At 53.9% G+C, this 19,721-nt stretch overlaps 1 protein-coding gene across 28 annotated transcripts in view, besides 2 other annotated features; it reads right to left on the bottom strand.

Moving 5' to 3' along the window:
* Positions 2,262 to 3,055: an enhancer, noted in NCBI's record as "H3K4me1 hESC enhancer chr19:10802533-10803326 (GRCh37/hg19 assembly coordinates)". NCBI's record gives its function as "activates a minimal SCP1, AML or CMV promoter by ChIP-STARR-seq in naive H9 embryonic stem cells {active_cell/tissue: H9 hESC(naive)}" and the evidence as "EXISTENCE:reporter gene assay evidence [ECO:0000049][PMID:30033119]".
* ILF3 (interleukin enhancer binding factor 3) overlaps positions 2,512 to 19,721 on the bottom strand; it is a 38,055-nt gene continuing 20,845 nt past the window's right edge. For 6 of the 28 annotated variants that reach the window (NM_001394808.1, NM_017620.3, XM_047438779.1 and 3 more), the window contains 16 exons: positions 17,602 to 17,749; positions 16,208 to 16,299; positions 15,720 to 15,815; positions 14,985 to 15,096; positions 14,469 to 14,566; positions 13,782 to 13,893; positions 13,583 to 13,693; positions 12,720 to 12,919; positions 12,208 to 12,375; positions 11,650 to 11,787; positions 11,370 to 11,546; positions 11,123 to 11,276; positions 10,942 to 10,995; positions 7,204 to 7,566; positions 6,234 to 6,362; positions 2,512 to 5,733 (listed from right to left, as the gene is read on the bottom strand). In NM_001394808.1, the coding sequence (NP_001381737.1) occupies positions 5,600 to 5,733; positions 6,234 to 6,362; positions 7,204 to 7,566; positions 10,942 to 10,995; positions 11,123 to 11,276; positions 11,370 to 11,546; positions 11,650 to 11,787; positions 12,208 to 12,375; positions 12,720 to 12,919; positions 13,583 to 13,693; positions 13,782 to 13,893; positions 14,469 to 14,566; positions 14,985 to 15,096; positions 15,720 to 15,815; positions 16,208 to 16,299; positions 17,602 to 17,749 (2,286 nt within the window). In that variant the 3' untranslated portion in view covers positions 2,512 to 5,599. Of the gene's footprint in view, positions 5,734 to 6,233; positions 6,363 to 7,203; positions 7,567 to 9,146; positions 10,497 to 10,941; positions 10,996 to 11,122; positions 11,277 to 11,369; positions 11,547 to 11,649; positions 11,788 to 12,207; positions 12,376 to 12,719; positions 12,920 to 13,582; positions 13,694 to 13,781; positions 13,894 to 14,468; positions 14,567 to 14,984; positions 15,097 to 15,719; positions 15,816 to 16,207; positions 16,300 to 17,601; positions 17,750 to 19,721 lie in introns of those variants that run through there. The other 22 variants (NM_001394821.1, NM_001137673.2, NM_001394822.1 and 19 more) reach the window with 13 other exon arrangements.
* Positions 3,056 to 3,851: an enhancer, noted in NCBI's record as "H3K4me1 hESC enhancer chr19:10801737-10802532 (GRCh37/hg19 assembly coordinates)". NCBI's record gives its function as "activates a minimal SCP1, AML or CMV promoter by ChIP-STARR-seq in primed H9 embryonic stem cells {active_cell/tissue: H9 hESC(primed)}" and the evidence as "EXISTENCE:reporter gene assay evidence [ECO:0000049][PMID:30033119]".

Raw genomic sequence — 19,721 nt, 5'->3', positions numbered from 1 at the left:
GTGGACTCAGCTGCAAAAATCACTGTAAACCTCAGCTCCGATGTTCCAAAAGTCAAGCCTCTTGTCGTCTCCAGGGCCCCCATTCTCACCTCTCCCATACACCTACTCAGCTCAGCAACCAAAAGAACTGTACTGAGGCGCGGTGGCTCACAATGGTTAATTCCAACAGTTCGTGAGGCTGAAGAGGGGATGGCTTGAGGCCAAGAATTGGACATCAACCTGAGACCCTGCCCCTATGAAGAAAAACAAACATTAGCCAGGCAGTGAGGCCTGTAGTCCTAGATACTCAGGAGGATGAGTGAGCCATGATGGCACCACTGCATACCAGACCGAGACCCTGTCTAAAAAATAGTTTCAGCTGGGAGCGGTGGCTCACGCCTGCAATCCCAACAATTTGGGAGGCTGAGGCAGGCGAATCACAAGGTCAAGAGTTCAAGACCAGCCTGGCCAACATGGTGAAACCCCATCTCTACTAAAAATCCAAAAATTAGCCAGGCATAATGCTGGGCACCTGTAATCTCAGCTACTCGGGAGGATGAGGCAGGAGAGTAACTTGAACCCGGGATGCGGAGGTTGCAGTGGGCCGAGATCACTCCAGTGCACTCCAGCCTGGGCAACAGAGCGAGAGACTATCTCAAAAACAAAACAAAACAAACAAAAAAACTGTAGGCCAGGCGCCGTGTGGCTCACGCCTGTAATACCAGCACTTTGGGAGGCCAAGACGAGTGGATCACGAGGTCAAGAGTTTGAGACCAGCCTGGCCAGCAAGGTGGAACTAAAATACAAAAATACTAAATACTAAATACTAAAAATACTAAATACTAAAAATACAAAAAATTGGCTGGGCGCGGTGGCTCACTCCTGCAATCCCAGCACTTTGGGAGGCCGAGGCAGGCGGATCATGAGGTCAGGAGATCGAGACCATCCTGGCTAACACGTGAAACCCCGTCTCTACTAAAAATACAATTAGCCGGACGTGGTGACAGGCACCTGTAGTCCCAGCTAATCGGAAGGCTGAGGCAGGAGAATGGCGTGAACCCGGGAGACGGAGCTTGCAGTGAGCGGTATCATGCCACTGCACTCCAGTCTGGGCGACAGTGAGACTCCGTCTCAAAAAAAAAAAAAGCCGGACATGGTGGTGCATACCTGTAATCCCAGCTACTAGGGAGGTTGAGTCAGGACAATCACTTGAACCCAGAAAGCGGAGGTTGCAGTAAGCGGAGATCATGCCACTGCACTCTAGCCTGGGTGATAGGGCAAGACTCTGTCTCAAACAAAAGTTAGCTGGGCATGGTGTCACACACCTGTAGTTACCGCTTCTCGGGAGGCTGAGGCAGGAGAATTGCTTGAACCTGGGAAGCGGAGGTTGCAGTGCGCCGAGATTGCTCCACTGCACTCCAGCCTGGCGACAGAGCAAGACTCCATCTTAAAAAATAAACAGCCAGGTGCGGTGGCTCACACCTGTCATCCCAGCACTGGGAGGCCGAGGCAGATGGATCACCTGAGGCCGGGAGTTCGAGACCAGCCTAACATGGAGAAAACTTGTCTCTACCAAAAATACAAAATTAGCCAGGCTTGGTGGCACATGCCTGTAATTCCAGCTACTGAGGAGGCTGAGGCAGGAGACTCGCTTGAACCCGGGAGACGGAGGTTGTGGTTAGCAGAGATCGTGCCATTGCACTCCAGCCTAGGCAACAGGAGCGAAACTCCATCTCTAAATAAGTAAAATAAATAAACAAATATATACTCTTGGGAGCCTGAATGGGCCTGAAGTCTTCCCAGGTCAGAATCCATCCATGGCTCCCCACTGTCCTTAGAAAGAAGGCAAGAACTCCTGTGCCTGGCACTCCACTTGGGGGCCCTCAAGATCCCACTGACCTCCAGCCTCATTTCCCAGCATTCCTTTGTTTTGCATCAAAATGCTCTACCCACCTGACTTCAGCTTCTTGAAGCCCATCCTCATCCCCCAGCTGAATTTTTGCTCAAGCTATTCCCTCTGCCTGGCCTCCCCTTCCCTTCCTAACACTCTTGGGTCCAACTCACCCATCCTCTCACCTGAGGGGAAAGCCTTGACAGGCACTTCCTGTCCCACTGTGACACAGCCCTCTTTGTGCCTGGAAGCTACATGTGGGTTGGGAGCAGGTTCACCATTTCGTTCCCAGCAACCAGCACCAGACTTGACATGTAATCACTGTGCAATAATAAACACGACAGCAGGGCACAGTGGCGCTGCCTGTCATCCCAGCTACTATAGGGAAGCTGAGTTGCTTAAGGCCAGGAGTTCAAGACTAGGCTTGGCGACCCACCTCTACAAGAAAATTAGTCAGTCATGGAGGCACAGCCCTGTGGTCCCAGCTACTCCAGAGGCTGTGACGGGAGGATCGCTTGAGCTCTCGGGTTCAAGACTGCAGTGAGCTACGATGATACCACTGCACTTCAGCTTGGATGACAGAGCAATATCCTGTCTCTCTTAAAAAATGAACGAACGCATGTTGAGTGAATGAAACAATGAACACATGAAGTCTCCATTTATTCTGGGATGGGTTAGAGTAAGCCTCTGAGGCTGCCATCAGGCTGGCTGAGTTGTTGCCCAACATTGTATCCAGCAGTCTCAGGCCCGCGCAGTGCACAGCCAGCATGGGGCTCACAGGTGCAGATGGAATCCAGAAGCTCCCAACTATGCTGCAAAGGCCAGGCCTAGGGGTCCGGGTACATGCAGTGAGTCCTTGGGGCAGGGCCAGCCCTGCTGACTACACAAGCAAGGTTGGTGGTGAGACAAGGGGTGTATGTTTCCCTGCCAGGACAGAGGGCAACACACAGGTGGGTGGCGACCCTCAAGGCTGACGGCATCCCTGCCCAGAGTGACGACCAGGGCCTACTAGCTCTACTAAATTCAGGGTGGCGGAAATCCTGGATGTGCCCCTTGTCATGGCTCAGGGGCCTCCTTTCATCCTAGTTCATGAAGCCCCAACACTTCCTCCCTGGGATCAGTACCAATCCCCTGCAAGGCCCTGCCCCTCCCTCCAACTTCATCCCAGTCAACCACACACGTCCAATCGTGTAGTCTGTTGCCCTTCTTTCCTTCCTGGGGCATCCTGAGCCCTCTGGGATGGCGTGTGCCCAGTTCCAGCTCACGGACCTCCATGGCCCATCCACCAAGCACCCCATCGTATCAACTTGCCATGTAAGGGTGTGGACCCCTTCCCCGCTCATGGATGCTCCTGGTGGCCTCCACTGAACATGTAGGAGACCGTCCACCCAAAGCATATTGGTCAAGGTGTCTCATTTCACAAGCCAGCTGTTGCCCAGCTCTTGCTGGGCCCGTTTGTAGGCCCTCCTGCAGGTCGGCTACCTGCGTTTGGAAGGCAACTAGCCTGGAAGGCCACTGTCAGTGCTCAAGGTGATAGCCACATATTCCTGAACCCGGTGTCGTCCTGTTGTAGCTGGGATACTGTCTCAGGCCAGCAGCATGACGGCATCATCAGCACTGGTGAGGATCGTGAGCGGGGTGAGGGCTCCAAGGGTGCTGTGCTCAGGAGCTGTTCTCTCCAGGCACGTGCCTGCTGTGCCGCATGTATCTGCAGCAGGGCGGGCGGGTGGAATCCATCCCTCGTGGTGGGTCTGCATTCAGAAACCTGAACGTGGTGGTGGTCACTGATCCGGAAACTGTTAAGGGAAGTCCTGTGTTGAGAATGCAGGCGCCTGCCCAGAGTTTGGAGGTATTTAGCAGGTGGGGCCAGGAAGTGTCCCTCTCCATGAGTGTTGCAGGCAGGCATTCTCTCCTTAAACACGAGGTCTGCTGATCTCACAGGAGTCTCTTCTTGTCCCAACCCCTTAATGTGTCCAGGAGAGGAGATAGGACATGAACACATCCCATCAAAATCAGGGGTTAGGACCCATCCATCCTCATCCCTCCACTGTGTGCGCTGCTGGGATCTCGGGGTACTCCAGGCCACCTCTTCTCCCAGCCTTTCCTGGGAGGCGCCACTTGGTATCTGGGACCTCCTCTGCTCTAACACAAATAAGAATTCCTCAAAAGTTTTCTAGCACACAACTTGTTCTTTCACCTCTTTCACCTCTCCAAGAAAGTCAAACACGGTCCTTGCTTTTCCCAGTGGCCATGGTTACCCAAGCACAGGAGGCCAAGGCCTGGGGCTCAGGCCAGCAGAGCAGGATCTCTGCAGACGTGTGGTCCCAGGCTTGGCCAGTACAGTTCTTCCTGGATGGCCGACACAGATCCTGGGGAAAGGCAATCCCGGCACTGCTCTGAAACCAGAGCTCCTCCTCCCTCCCCGGGCAGGGTGGAGCTGAGAAGGGCTGCTCTAGCGTTGGGACTCCACCTCCATACACCTGATATTTTGATAGGGCAGGTCCCTGCTATGGGCCACTGTTCTGGGCAGTACAGTATGCTTGACAGCATCCTTGGCATCTATCCACCAGATCCCAGAGCACCCGCTACTAGCTGTGACAACATCCTCCAAACATTGCAAAATTTCCCCTGGGAGGCAAGATTGCCTCAGATGGGAGAATCACGCTCTAGGGAAATCTGCTGGTATGAGAACCCCAACTCCCCACTCCACTGAGCCTCCAGATGGCGAGCAGGCTGCAGCTCCAGCACAGACACGAAGCTCCCTCCAGCCACTGACGGTCCATGGCTGGGGTTACCCAGGCCTCACCTGCCCTTTCTTTTGTAACTGCGTTATGTTCCACCACAGGCACGCCCCTACAGAGGACATCACTGTGTACTTAGAACTACACCAGAATCGGGGAGCAGAAAAAGCCTATTTTGTGATGGGTTCCCCAAGACCAGAATGGGCGCTGTAAGCCCCTCTGTAGATGGTGGGAGCCTGGAGCCTGGTGGGACACCGGGTCTACACAGCCCAGGGGACCAGGAACCAGCCTTCGCTGAGCATGAGTAAAATGTCTAGAAGCCTGAACTGGACCCTCTCTAAGGACCAGGGACCATCCTGATGGCCCACGCTGCTTTCCCAAGAGCAGGAATAGAGTGGGGAAACCTGCCCATTGCACTGCTGGTGGGTCAGACACCCAGGCCTAAGACGGGCGCAGTTTTGTTTTTCTTTATTTGTCTACATTCAGCTTAATTCAGATGTACTGCCTGAATGACCCAGACATAAAAAGAAACCCCCCACTCTTTCCCACTGGTTTTTAAAATAAAATCTTCACTTATAAAACTGAAACACTAAAGCATTAAAATACAGAAAGCTCGTTTAACTCACTTCACAAAAGCATTAACAAATGACGTATCCCTTCTGTAACTATTTAAAGACAAACTGAGTTACCACTAACACGAAGTGTGAATAGACAGAGGGATACTGAACTGCAAAAACTCAAAAACTCTACCCAGACAAAGTTGTAATGGCAACTAACAAACCATTGAAGACACGGAGTCCCAAACACGGCTAAATATGGGTCACAGGACGGGCCACAGGGTGACCCGCTGCACCTCACGACACAGCAACGTGGACGGGATGGGGGCGGGGGCCTGGAGGGCCAGCTGACATGTTAACTGTGATGCATAAAACTCGATCTTCTGATGGGGAGTAAGTGCAGAAGGTAGAAATCTCCGCCCCGCGGGGGCTTATCTGTACTGGTAGTTCATGCTGTGGTCTGCGTTTCTGCCATAGCCGCCTTGTGAGGACTGGTAGGAGCTGGGAGGGCCACTGTAGTTCTGGCCGGACCCCGGGGAGTTGTAGTTCGACTGTGAGTAGCCTCCTAGGAGAGAGAGTGGTGGATTAGAGCCGAGGGGCCCAGCCAGCGGGGCTCAGGTTAGGCAGCCCACACCCAAGCCTCGGCCAGGATGCAGGTGGGCAAGACTTATGGGCTCCTGTGCGGCTCTGCCTGCCTACCACACATCACTGGATCAGGCTGGCACCAAGACTCTGAGAGGTGGGACCACTGTGACCCTCGTTTCTGGGAGAAGCTACCTGAGCCCAAGGCTGAGCTACTGGCCAGAACCGGGGGAACAGCTGTTTGGCCTTGGTGTCACCCACATTTCACACAGGTACCAGGGGTTAAGCGTGGGGACACTGCTGGCTCTCCGGCTGCTCCCGAAAGCCTTAGCAGCTGCCAGTGCATCCGAGTGCGTGTTCTCACAGGGCCCACCTGCCACTGCAGCCCTGCCCACGCTGCTGTCTGCTCCCACCAGGTCCATATCCCGCTTCACAGCAGCTGCCAGGCCCCCCATGCTGTGCCACCAGGGGCTCCAGGCCCACCTTGTTTGCCTTGGTATGAGGAGCCGCCCCCAGAACCTCCGCCGTAGCCCCCGTGTGACCCTGGGTTGTAGGATGCCCCGCCTGAGCCGTAGCTGTTCCCGCCGCTTCGGCCTCCACTACCACTGTAGTCTGGGGGAGAGAAGACAGGATGGTTAAGGGGCCCCAGGAAAGACACACCTTGGGCGGCCCGGGGGCCTTGTGGTGCGCCTCAGACGCGGCCGGCCCCTGGCCCAGACCCTGGGCCTCTAACTCTTCTCCCTGCCTGCTTCAATGTCGCACATCAGCCCATCAGGTAAGTACCAGGGGCCAGCTGGAGCCCTGCAGGGTCACCTGGCCCTGGGCTGGGCTGGTCACCAAGCTCCAAAGCCCTGCTCTGGGGTGCCTTCCCATCTGTTCCTGCAGCCCAAACTTCCCAGCAGCAGCTGAGGAAGTGCTTGAGACCCCAGCAGCCGCCTCTCCTCAGCCAGCAGCACCAGACACACAGCACCCCCTTCTGACCCACCAGCACAGCCTCTGTCAAGTCCCTGGCCTGCTGCTGACAGCTGCTGGGTCCCAAGGACACACCTACTCAGCCCCACTGGGTCACTGGTGCAGCCCGGGCCTGCTGGGTCTGCGCATGAGGAAGCGGAAAGGCGGTGGCGGAGAGGTCAGGCTCTTGCAGGGGCTGGATGCAAAACTCTCTAGAGCAAGTCCCAGGAAGTCACCTTGCAGCCTCACCCACAGCCAGGGCCTCGGGACAGAGGCCTCAGCTACCCTGCCTTCGGAGAACACACCAGAGAGAGTGGCGGAGACGGCACCATGAGGTCCCACGCCCCATCTTCCTAGCACCCGCCCGCAGCCAGCACCACTTGTCCTCCTCCTAAGGCCCTCAGCCAGAGGTCTGGGCAGTGCCGAGCTTCTGCCACTCCGTGGGCTGCACTGCTGGGGCCTGGACCCTGGCCCGGCCGAGGGGCTCTGGAAGCCAACTCACTGAATTTGCTCTCGTAGTTGTAGTCGGATCCGCCCCCGCCCCCGGGAGAGTTGTAGGAGTTCGAGTAGGAGTAGCTGCCTTGTCCATGGTTATAGCCTTTCTGCTTGCCCTGTGGAGGGCCATAGTTGCTGTAGGGGCTCTGGTTGTAGGACTGCTGCTGGCCCTGGTGGGACTGGTAGCCCGAGCCGTAGGAGGGCTTCTGCTGGCCCCCGTGCGGCTGCTTCTTCCCAGCGTGTTTTGGGGGCACCGGTGAGTTGTAGTTGTCACCTTGGTAGTAGGAGCCATAGCCGGAGGAGCCACCACCGCCCCCGCCGCCACCGCCACTGGCATTCCCAGAATGCCCTCCGTTGCTGTAGAACTGACCTAAACAGGGAGGCAGTGGGTCAGGCGGAGGACGGGAAAGGGCAGGGGGAAGGGAGGGAAGGGCAGGCGGCAGCCATGGGTCCTGAAGGCTGACCCACAAGCCCGGGTCAGAGGCAGTAGGACAAGGAGGGAGAGGAGCAGTGGCTCCGGTCCTTAGCACAGCCGTTTGGGCTGGCCCAGCCTTCAGCTCCACTCACCCAGCAGCTGATGACAACAATGGGGCTTTGCCAAGCAGCACGCGCCAGCAGCTTTTGCAGCGGATGTCAACATTACAATGAGATGGACTCCGAGCGCGGGACGACATTCACAGCTAGCTGACGGCTACCCAGAGATCCCCAATGGTGACAGGAAAAGCAAAGCCCCAGAGAAGCAGCAGCCACCCCCCTCCTCCCTGCTGTGCTGGGAACAGGCTCCACAGGCACAGGCCTGGAGGCCCCTAAAAGATGCTATTTAAAGAGGCCCCGGACCGTCATCATCCTGAGAAGACCAACTGGTCTGAGCTGGTTTGGTTCTTGGAAGACAAATCGAGACTCAGTCAATGATGCAGGCACCTCCCTTGCGATACTCATGCAAGCATGTGACTCAGGATGTGACCAAGCCCCAGCCTGGCTGGCAGAGGGCAGTGGCCACGGCTGGGGCAGGAAAGCCGGGTGAGGCCTAGACCTACAGCCCTAATGACTCCCGAGGCCCCTTCCTTGTCCCCAGCACAGCTGCTGGGTGCAGGTGGGGCTGAGCAGCAGGGCTGAAAGTGTGCAGTGCAGCCACTACATTCTCAGCCGCAAGCTGAAAATGTAGCAGTGAGACCCCACTTCTGGTCACTAGGTTTGTCAATACACGGCCCCGCCAGAGGCTCGAGTGGAACAAAGGGGACGGCACTGGCTGAGGGAATGCTGCACCCCAAGCCTTGCAAGGGAGCCCCACACAGGGAGCCTCCACAGTGGGTGTGGGAAGGCTCAGAGGGTGGGTGAGGTGGGAGGCTGGGTCATGGTGGTGGCTCTCCAGCCAAGCTGGCCAACGCCCAAGCGCTCACCAGGCGCAGCTGAGTTCCTGGGCTCTCAGAGCGGGTCGGCTTGTGAATGCAGCCACCTTTGCCCAGTCAGGCTGCCCAGACCTCCAGGCCCAGGGTGGGTGGGAGGGAAGGGGAGGCTCCCACGCTGCCTGTCCTTCCTTCCCAGATTGAGGACACTAAGGGCCCACCGCCTCCTGGGTAGGGTAACTGGGAGTCCTCACGTGCCTCCACCCACTGGAGATGTGTACCCCACGCTGGTGTGGTGGGCTGCCTGCATGACAACGTGGACAGAACTATCTGCAACCTTCAGTTTGTGTTCTTCAGGCAGGCCTCCTCCCTCGCCCGCCATCACAAAGCCAAGACACCAAGGGGGAGGATGTGTCCCACAATGCCAGAAAGCGAACATGCGGCAGCTCAGCGAGGAGACTGGGAGGATGGGATCTTCAGAACCCCCCCACCAGGACCCACACCCCACAGCCCCACAGCCCCAGCTTCCCCAGTGTCCTGCACTGAGCACACCACCTCGCCCCGCCTGAAGCCGGGAATGAATGAAGACGCAAGGGCCGAGGGCTTGTTACTTTCACATGTATTGATTAAAAAAAAATAAAGGGGAGGGGGAGTTTTCAACGTCATTCAGGATAACTATTTTCCTGGTATAAAAAGACATTATTCTCAAACAATAACTTTCTAAAAAAAAAATACATCATGCAATCAAAGTTTTAAAAAGTTTCACTGAATGTTTCAAACCTCTGGGAACAAATCATGTAGTAACCATTTTGACCAGTTTTTGCCTGAATAAACGCAAAATCTTGCAAGTCAACACAGATGCAGGCTTTGCTGCAAAAAGAACCGCTGATCAGAGCCAAAACCAGTTTCCAAGGAGGGCACCTGCCAGAAAACAGGGGCCTCAGCAGAGAGCCAGAATGACTCCGTGTGTTGGCACAAACTTCTACGCCTTTGGAGTCTGTGGCAGCTGCACACCCAGCAGCACCACCTCTGCCCAAGCAAAAGCCAGTCCTTTACTGGAGAAACAGGGAACATCACGGTTCTTTCTCCTCAATTACTTTTAAAGTCCCATTAAACTAAAAAGCAACAAAAAAATCCAGAATCCCATGCATCTGCAGCTGTAATTAAGACTTGCAAAATTTCACGTCATCTACCCCTTAAAGCCTGTCTGTTTCTTGCACTAATAATGGAAGCACAGTTTTGATACCTTTGAGAGTTCACTCTCTAGCTAAACCAGCCACAAAATATCGCATTCCCAAACAAGAACCCACCAGAGCATTACAAGAGGCGGGAGAAGTTAATTCAGCGCAATATACAATTCCCCACATGTTCCCAACGTTTTAACATGCTCGCAATAAGAAAAAAAGCCGGTTTCTCTGGATTCAGATGTGGTGAAATCGTTTTCATCACTGTCAAAGGCATCAACCAGATTTGGGAGTTTGTTAAAAGGTTAAAAATTCATACAAAACCTGCTGTAAATTAAGACAAAGGTAGATTAAAATGCGTCATTGTCTGTCTCTTTAAATAAAGTAATGCTTTCCATAAAAAGCAAAGGTGGGCTTTTGCCTTGATGCCGAACAACGCTGTCTCTAGAATTCTGTGCAATTCTGCACAAAAATACATTCTCTGAAAAAATTGTTTTCCACTTATTGTGAACTTCAATAGGACCAAGTTCAAAGGCAAATCACGATAAAAACTGCCATTGTCTTAAATTCTGCAGGCTAAGAGTTTCAGACAAGCTGCGGTGAAAAGCCACGGTTGAGAAACCCAGTGAAGCACAGGGACACAGCACGGACACTTTGGGTTTTGGAGTTGGAGGAAATTGGAGTAAAAAGTTGATTTTGTGTGCAATACTTTTAGACGCTCTAGGAAGACCCAAAATCATGATAGCCGTAGCAGTCTGTGAAAAAGTCACCTACAAAAGGGGGAGACAGAGCAGAGAGAAGAAATTAGAATTCTTTTGAAAAAGGGCACAGAGCGCCACATTTGAAATTCATGTTTTAGATTTCTCTGCTCCTGTAACCCCCCAATGAAGGCTCCTTCTCAAGACAAGAGCTGTGCACTGGCCGGAAAAGCGTATTCACAAGATTGGTGCTTCGCATGGCTTAAAGCAGAGAAATTTAAAATTCTAACTTTTAAGGAACTTTGCAGTTACACGAGTTCGTGTATTAACACAATCAATCCCACTGTGGGGCCGGGAAGGGGTGGGGGTCGAGGGCCGTCTGACCTAATCACCGCAAAAAGGTGTGTGCCCCTTCTACAGCCTCCTCGAGGCTGCTCTGGCCACCCTTTGCTAACTCAGGCCCAGACGCTACACTGCAGCTGCTTCCCAGGTCAGACAGACAGAAACGCACACTTACTGTAGCCTGCTGTCGCCGAGTTGCCTCCGTACCCATAGCTTCCATACCCAGCACCTGGAAAGGGAAAGACAGGGTTACCGGGGTCCAGCAGTGTCTCCGGCCCACCCCAGGAGCCCCACACATTTGTTCCCAGAGCATGCACGTGGGGAAGGCGGGGACAGTGCAGTATGAGGGCCCTTACCGGCATTCATGTAGCCTCCATGGTTGGCGCCACCAAATCCTCGCCCGCGCCCTCGTCCCCGGATGCTCCCGCCTCTTCCCCGCCCTCGAAGGTTGGGGGGTGGGGGCACTTCGTTGTGCATGGGGCCTCCCATGCCGAAGCCAGGGTTATGTGGCTAGAAGAGAACACAGGGAAGTGACATTCCCTTCGTGCTCACATTGCAGAAGAACCCATGCCTGGGCAAGGAGGTTCAAGGGCCACTGCTCACCTTAGCAGCAAATTTCGGTCCCCCTCTGACGGGTACTGGGGCTCTCTTCTTTTTGTTGGCATCAAGGGCGAGAGGGGTGTCAGGGAAAAGCTTTTCTAGGGCAGCAAGAGCAGCGTAGGCCTTCGCCACCTTTTTGTTGGAACCAGCACCTTGGAACTTCTGTCCATCCACTTCGACCTGGAAAGTGCAGATGGAGATGACTCAGTGCCTCCCTCCAGGGGCAGGGGGACCCCAGGCCTCCCCATGGGACTGCCCCAGCAGGCAGCTTCAGGCTGCGCACCTCCATGACGAAGCGCTTGTCGTGGCTGCCCCCGGTCTCGGAGATGAGCTCGTACTTGAGCCCACGCCTCTTCTCGTTCAGCTCCATGACTGGGTTCTTGCCGTGCTTTGTCAGGATCGGCCCCTGCTGTTTTACGTTCTCAGGGAAAACAGAAAAGAAGACCGACAAACTCAGCTATGGGCATTCCAGTCACATGGGAGGAGTGGCAGGACTGAGGCAGGGCCTCTGCTCTTCATACACTGCCAGCCCTTGCCAGAGTCTCCACTGACTCTAGTGAGGGCCTTCCAGCAATGTGCCCCCTTCCTGTGCCTCCCCTCTGAACAGCACGTTATCAACCCAAGGCCACCCCAGTGTAGCCTATAGGATGCTGGGACAACATCCACAAGGCCCTCCCCGACACGGCTCGGAGGGCAGCACCCAGCTTCCTGTGCGGACTTCTGGCCTGAAAGGTCCACTTTTTGGGGCAAATTAACAAGGACCAGTAACCACCTCACTGACAGGACACATGGCTGCCTGCTCTGTCCAGGCAGTCACTCCCAGCGCCCACCATGTGCTCACCTCGGCAGTGGCATCTGAGGGAAAGGCCGCACTAGGGGTGGAGACAGCTTCTACCACTGGGGCAGGGGCCACCACTGCTGGCTTCGCCTCGGTCTCCTCAGCCGAGTCCTCCCCCTTGCTCGAGTCCCTGCCTTCAGCACCCGTCGGCAAGCCCATGTCCTGTAACACCTGCAGAGGTGGCAAGACCCCCAAGGTCCCAGTGAAGCAGGGCTGCATGCAGGGCCTCCTCATGGCCTACAGGCACCCACCCGGGAAGCCATCTGGAGGAGGGCTGTTTCCTTTCAGCTCCTGCTCCCAGGAGGCCCTAATGCCCCAATCATGTTTGGGGACCCCTCTGCCTGCCAGCCACAGTGGGAAGGCGTTCTTGCCACGTGACTTGGCAAATACTCGCCATCTAACCATGTGTATTTTTAGAATCTACATGCCCTCCCTGAGAGACAATGGCTCAGAAGGGGCCCAAAACAAAGACCATGGTTCTGCTATTAGAAGACAGTGATGCTGGCCACACTCACCTTAACGGCCACGTGCAGCTTGGCCGTCTTTTTGGAGGGCCCAGAGGCCTCGAATGAATTGCCATCAACCTCCACAGACATGGTAAAGATGGGGGCATGGACGGGCCCAGTCTGGGACACCAGCTTGTACTGCAGCCCTGGCTTCAGCTGGTTCAACCGCATCAGGGCATTCATAGCCTGGGGGGGCTCTGCCTTCTCCTCTACAGAGAGAATAGCAAGGTGGCTCTGGATCAGCACGATGGCAGGTCTCCACGAGAGCTCTGCCAATCCTAACCCCCAGGGCTGCCTCTGTGGCGTAACACAGTGGGTGGGGCAGCCACACAAACTGAGCCCAGCTTGCACCTCTCCTGTGGCCTCCAGCTGTAGCACCACCATCCTACTCATCTTCCACATCCCCAATCATGCCTCATCATTGTTAAAAGGACTCAGAAATCACAAGTGAGAAAAATGAAACAAAAGCAGCCATCCCATAGCTTCAGGGTGAGCCTTCACAGGACCAGATGGATAAAGCAGCAGCACTAGTGGAGGTCTGCACCTTCCTGCTTTTTTACCTATTTAGCTTCTAAAATTTTTCAACACTGATTTTAAGCAAGGTCTCGCTCTGTTGCCCAGGCTGGAGTACAGTTGCTCACTGCAACCTCCGCCTCCCAGGCTCAAGCCATCCTCCCATCTCAGCCTCCCAAGTAGCTGGCACTACAGGTGCGCCACCACACCCAGCTAATTTTTGTATTTTTTGTAGAGACGGGGTTTCGCCATGTTGCCCAGGCTGATGGTCTCAAAACTCCTGAGCTCAAGCGATTCTCCCGCCTCGGCCTCCCAAAGTGCTGGGATTACAGGCGTGAGCCACCGCGCCCGGCCTGTACCTTTCTTCTGAATCTTCTTCTTCTTTTTGCTGGGCGACTTCTCCTCCCCGTCCTCCTCCATTGGGCGTTTCATGGGCGTAATGGCATAGGTGGTGCTTGGTGGGATCTGAACTGCAAGGAGAGACCAGGGCATGGCTGGGAGATGCAGATGGTGACTCTTCCTGGAGCCCCAGCCATCAGGCAACCGCCGCAGGCTTACCGGTGTAGTCCACTGGGTTTTCATTCTTTGGTTTCTTGGGCATCTTGGAAGGCAGAGGGTCCATGCCTAGGACTTTATGGAGCTGGCCGAAGGCAGCGAGCCGCAGTGCGTGCTGGAGAAGGGGAAGAGGCTCTGACTCAGCTGCCCTGTGCTCCCGGCCATGGAGTGTGTGCTCACTACTGCCTTCTGAGGAGGGGCAGAGCTGAAGGGCTGCTAATGGTCTCCCTTACGACAGCAAGGGGTCCCCCACCAGCCAGGGGAGAGCCTGACTGCTCAAGCCCAGCCTTGCTGTGGGGGAAGGCCAGCCTGTGACCACCCCCCTTCCAAAGGAATACAGGAGACCCCAACCTGGGGACTGGTTGCCACACGGAGCCATGTGGGGGCCTGCAGGGGAAGGTCCCCCCGGAGCAGTCCGCACAGCAAACACATCTCCCAGCACCACTCACAGTGTCTGAAAACGGCACTCGAGCAAGCCAAGGGAGGGGGCAGATGAAAACCACGCATGGCACCAGGGGAAAGAAGCAGCCCAGATTGGGGCGCCCTGTATCAGACACAATCCTTTTGCCTTCAGTCCCCGACCTGAGCCTACGAGTCCAGGGGCTACCCTGGGAATACCCAGTAATGGAACTGGAAGCCAGTGATTACAGACTGGGTCAGGGCGCACGTTGGCAATGGCGATGACTATACCTGCGCACTCTGTGTGATATCTTCCCGTTGCTGTCTGTCTAGATGCCCAATAGCATCAGTGGCTTCTTTTTCACAAGGGTCATAAATGCCAGAACCATCTGAAGGCAGGAAACAAGGAAGATATGCAGAGGATTATCTTTTAGCATCTCTGAAGAGGTGTGCTGGCTGAGGGAACTAGGTGTGTTACCCCCCGCGCCCCATCCACACCCAGCTCTGGAAAACATGCCTAGCTCGGTGACCCACTCGGCGTCCAGCCCTTGACAGAAATAATTCACAAGTGTCTCAGAGCAAGAAAGTCACGTGGGAGTGGGTCACCACTGCCCCGGATCCGCCCTCTGAATGACGGCTGCGGACCCGGTCAGGGCTGGATATGATGGTGCCAGAGGGTAGTCACATGCTTCAGCTCTAGGGGGTGGACACGGGGCTGCTGCTGTCCTAACCCAGTCAGTGTACCCGCCAGGAGGCGGCCTGGAACCCTGTCCTTTCCCTGCAACCTGCAAAGCACAAGGCCCCAACCTGGCATCACGATGCCCGACGCCAGGCACTCCAGCACTCTCCGCAGGGCCTCGCCAGCACCCATCGGTCTGTTGGCCGTGCCAATGGATTTCTCACACAGGAGCTCGAGAGGCTGAAAGGGAAGAGGGACAGTGAGCCAAGAGCCTACAGGATGGGGCCGGCCGCCACTGGGGAGCTGTCACTGCATGAGTGGGTCGGGGCACACGTGGGACTCATAGCCAACCAGTCGGGTAAAGTCAAAGCCTCAGGGCTAAGCCTGAGCCAGGGCATCTAGGACAGGGGCCTTCAAGGACCAGACATGACATCCTAGCAGGCTGTGTGAGCTCAGAGACCAAGCTAAGGTTATGATGTAGTACTTCTTACTTAAAATCTAACCATTTATTTACAAATATAAAAACCACCTCAACTGCAAGCTGAAAAAAAAAAGGGTGCAACTGCCAAAAACTGGTCCTGCGTGAGACTATCTACAAACCTTCCCAGAGGGATCATTCCCACCTCCTGGTCAGCCCCCACTCCTGGGATTGAGCTGTGCGACCCTGCAGAGGGCCCCGACCCACACTGCCCCAACCCCAACCCCAGGTGTGGCAAGCAGGAGCAGCTCCACAGGCAGCTCTGGAGAGTACACACCAGCCACGCGTCAAGAGGCCACTCCTGCCCCGTGACCATCAAGTGTTCCTGGGATATCCAAAAGACTCTGCACACACCACCCCCAGTAGCCACAGCAACATGCCTTACCCAGCCTCGGAGGGGACCCCAGGTGGGCACGCGAGTGCACAGGTCCCTCAAGACCCGGATCACAATGACACAAGACTTCAGCCCGTTGGCTCTGGCCTAGGGGAACAAAACACAGGCTCTTCAGTCTGAGGCACCGCCCAGGGCACAAGTCAACATGAACGACACAAGTGTCAGGTTGCTGCTTTGCCAAGGGTAAACAGTCAACACTGGCGACCACCAAGGCTGTGGCCAGCCGCAATGTCACTACGTGTACAAGAGAGTGTTACTCTTAACACAAAGCAGCAGCAGCAGCAGCAGCCCACCAACTCAGTCTCAGCCTCTTTTGGGGTCGAATTTGTTGAGGTGCACTCCTTTAGGACCTGCGCAGCTGCAGGTGCTAAGCTCGGCACGGCTATCGTCAATGTTAAGGAATCTTTATGGTGACAGTTAGCCAAGTTAAAACTTAGGAATTCTCTACCAAAAGACAAATAGAAGAACAAAATGCAAACCTGGAACCACTTGGCGTGTCGGAGGGACGCCAAGGCAGCAAGGCATTTCTGCCTGTCCAGAACGTCCGGGGGGTCGTTGACTGATAGCGTTTCTATTCATGGATGGAATAAGAAGACAAGGCACAGTTTGACCAAGGGGTTTCTGTCAGGTGGAAAGGGGATGTGGCAGCTTTCTAAAGGGCAGCTGAGTTTCCCAGAAGCTGAATTCATCTCCACCCTGGACCAGGGAAGGAGAAACTAGAGCACATTCAACTCTGCCCTGTGAGGAAATTGTAAAAATTGGAGGCCCCCTCCAAAAATAAAAAGAAAAAGAAAAAAGAAAGAAAAAGAAAAAATAAAACAAACATAAAAACAAAAGTGGGGAGTTATTCTAAAAGGAATAATCTCATGAGGGAGGGGAGAGATAGGTGGAGCCTATCTTCTAATCCTCTTCCCTTGCCTCCTCCCCATGTTCTCCCAATAAATTAGCTATGCTAAAATGTTCAATAGGAAAAAATTTAAAAAGGCCGAGGGAGAGGAAATGAACTCCCTCTCTGCATCACACAACAGCCATCCCAAGGCATCTGCAGCAAAGGGGACCAACTCCGCCCACCAGGCGGGACTGCCCTAGCCCCAGCCCTTGACAGAGAGAGTCCTGTTGGTCAAAGGTCCAGCGTCCCTACGTTGATCAACTAGAAGGGCTTTGGTAGTCGGAATCAGCTATGAGAACCAAAGGTAAACAGCAACAAGGGCGCTATGCCAGCCTATGCTGCGGCCAAGCAGAGCGTTTATCTTCTCTGCCATCTGCACACCAGGGGTTTGGATAAGGCCTGAAGACAGGCATGCGAGCGGCGGGCCATGGACTGCGAGCACATTATTAGCGTGAGGTCCAATGATGTGGTTTGAAAAATTGGACAACAGTTTAAAACTTTATCCAAAACTCTGTATCAGCTCTTTGTGCTTCTGTCACTTTAAATGATAAAAGAGCCATGACAGAGGACAAACGAAGAGGCCCTCAGCTCAGCTGCAGCACAGGCTGTTGGTAAACTCCAACGTGGTGCTCATGCAGAAACCATCTGGTTGTCTCATCTTTAAAACCATGGAATCACCAGGGACACTTCTCCACAGCCAGAGAATGGCTCCATAGAAAAGCAACTTCCACATTCATGTTTGAGAACGTTCAAGGATGAAGATAAAGGAAAATGGTGCAGTCCCCTATGAAAAGTGCTACTCACTTTTAGTGCGACTGTTTTGTCAAACTCCCAAGTACTCAAAGCCAACGGGAGATGTGATCTCAGAGTAAAGGTGGTCAATCTACACCGTATACCAAAGCAGTCTAAAACTGAATAGCACATTTGAATAGTGAGGGAACACCACATTTTCAAAGTCCTGCCGGCGTGTCTCGGCCTCCCTACCTCCAGCTAATACTTTCTCCATTTCTTCTCTGACAACAGGGGATGTCAGGTGGATGGTCAGGGACAATGGAGGCTCTTTTGTGTTTTTTATCACAATCGCAGCATCGTCGACAGATTGCAGTATTTCGTACTTGTCTTCTGTTACAGCCTAAAAAATAAAATGCAACTTTCAAAACACTTTCTCCTCAAAGCAATCAACAATTTTATCTGGCTCCACCTATTCCTGCAACAGAAAGGCCAACGTCTTGAGTATGATGACCCGGAAGTGATTTCACCTGGGATGTCAGGGTCTCTCTAATTGGCCAGGTCTTTGGCCACGTTTTGGGTACTTGAAAGAGGGATAACTAGTGAAAGAAGCGATTTCCAAACGGTGCTTAAAAATGCAATGGTAGGGCTGGGAGCCGTGGCTCATGCCTGCAATCCCAGCACTTTGGGAGTCCGAGGTGAGTGGATCACGAGGTCAGGAGATCGAGACCATCCTGGATAACCCGGTGAAACACCATCTCTACTAAAAATACAAAAAACTAGCCGGGCGTGGTAGCAGGCACCTGTAGTCCCAGCTACTCGGGAGGCTGAGGCAGGAGAATGGCGTGAACACGGGAGGCGGAGCTTGCAGTGAGCTGAGATCACACCACTGCACTCCAGCCTGGGCGACAGAGCGAGACTCTATCTCAAAAACAAAAACAAAAACAAAACAACAAACAAACAAAAAAGCAATGTTAGGCCAGGTGCAGTGGCTCACGCCTGTAATCCCAGCACTTTAGGAGGCTGAGGTGGGCGGATCACAAGGTCAGGAGATCGAGACCATCCTGGCTAACAGGGTGAAATCCCATCTCTACTAAAAATACAAAAAAACTAGCTGGGCGTGGTGGCGGGTGCCTGTAGTCCCAGCTACTCAGGAGGCTGAGGCAGGAGAATGGCGTGAACCCGGAAGGCAGAGCTTGCAGTGAGGCAAGATCATGCCACTGCACTCCAGCCTGGGCAACAGAGCGAGACTCTGTCTCAAAAAAAAAAAAACCAAAAAAAAAAAAAAAAAAAAAAAAAAACAAACAAACAAAAAAGCAATGTTAGGCCAGGTGAGGTGGCTCACGCCTGTAATCCCAGCACTTTGGGAGGCTGAGTGGGCAGATCAGCTGAGGTCAGGTCAGGAGTTCAAGATCAACCTGGCCAACATGGTGAAACCCCATCCCTACTAAAAATACAAAAATTAGCTGGGTGCAGTGGAAGCGTGTAGTCCCAGATACTCAGAAGACTGAAGGAGGAGACTCGCTTAAACCAGGGAGGCAGATGCTGCAGTGAGCTGAGATCGCGCCACTACATTCCAGCCTGGGTGACAAGAGTGAGACTCAGTCTCCAAAAAAAAACCAATGGCAAAGAGTTTCGGATCCAGGAGCCAGGAGGAGGAGACCCCCCTTTTGCCCTTTAGTAGTTGATCAACTTTGGATAAATCACTCTCATACAGACTCTAATCTGTATAATGGACTTAATGACACGAACTACACCACAAGGCTGCTGGAAGCCTCAAACAGACGCTGCGGGGAAAGCGGTGGACACTGCAGAGTGGGCATCCAGCCACTGCTACTTCCATGCTGGGATGAGCAGCCAGTGTAGAATAAACCCTGTGTGCAGTGAAACAGTCAGTGTGCAGTATCCTATGGTGCATCTAAACGTATGTACTTGCTGCAAATGCACATCTACAAGGACACTCACGACTATTTTCATTCTTGATACCACCTTCTTATGACTTGACAAAGAAAATTCAAGCTTTTGGCTGAGGGTAGTGGCTCGCACCTGTAATCCCAGCACTTTGAGAGGCCGAGGTGGGTGGGTCACTTGAGGTCAGGAGTTCGAGACCAGCCTGACCAATATTGTGAAATCCTGTCTTTACTAAAAATATAAAAAATAGCCCGGCACGGTGGCAGGCCCTGTAATCCCAGCTACTTGGGAGGCTGAGGCGGGGAGGCGGAGGCTACAGTGAGCTGAGACTGTGCCACTGCACTCCAGCCTGGGGGACAGAGCAAGACACAGTCTCAAAAAAAAAAAAAAAAAAAAAACAAAACAAAGAAAGAAGAAAATTCAAGCTGAAGGAAGTTAAGTAAATATGTTGGGAGGAGAATAAA

Source organism: Homo sapiens, chromosome 19 (assembly GCF_000001405.40).
Source record: "Homo sapiens chromosome 19, GRCh38.p14 Primary Assembly".
Lineage (NCBI taxonomy): Eukaryota > Metazoa > Chordata > Mammalia > Primates > Hominidae > Homo > Homo sapiens.
Note: the sequence above shows the minus strand (reverse complement) of the source record. Positions and strands in the feature narration are given on the sequence as shown.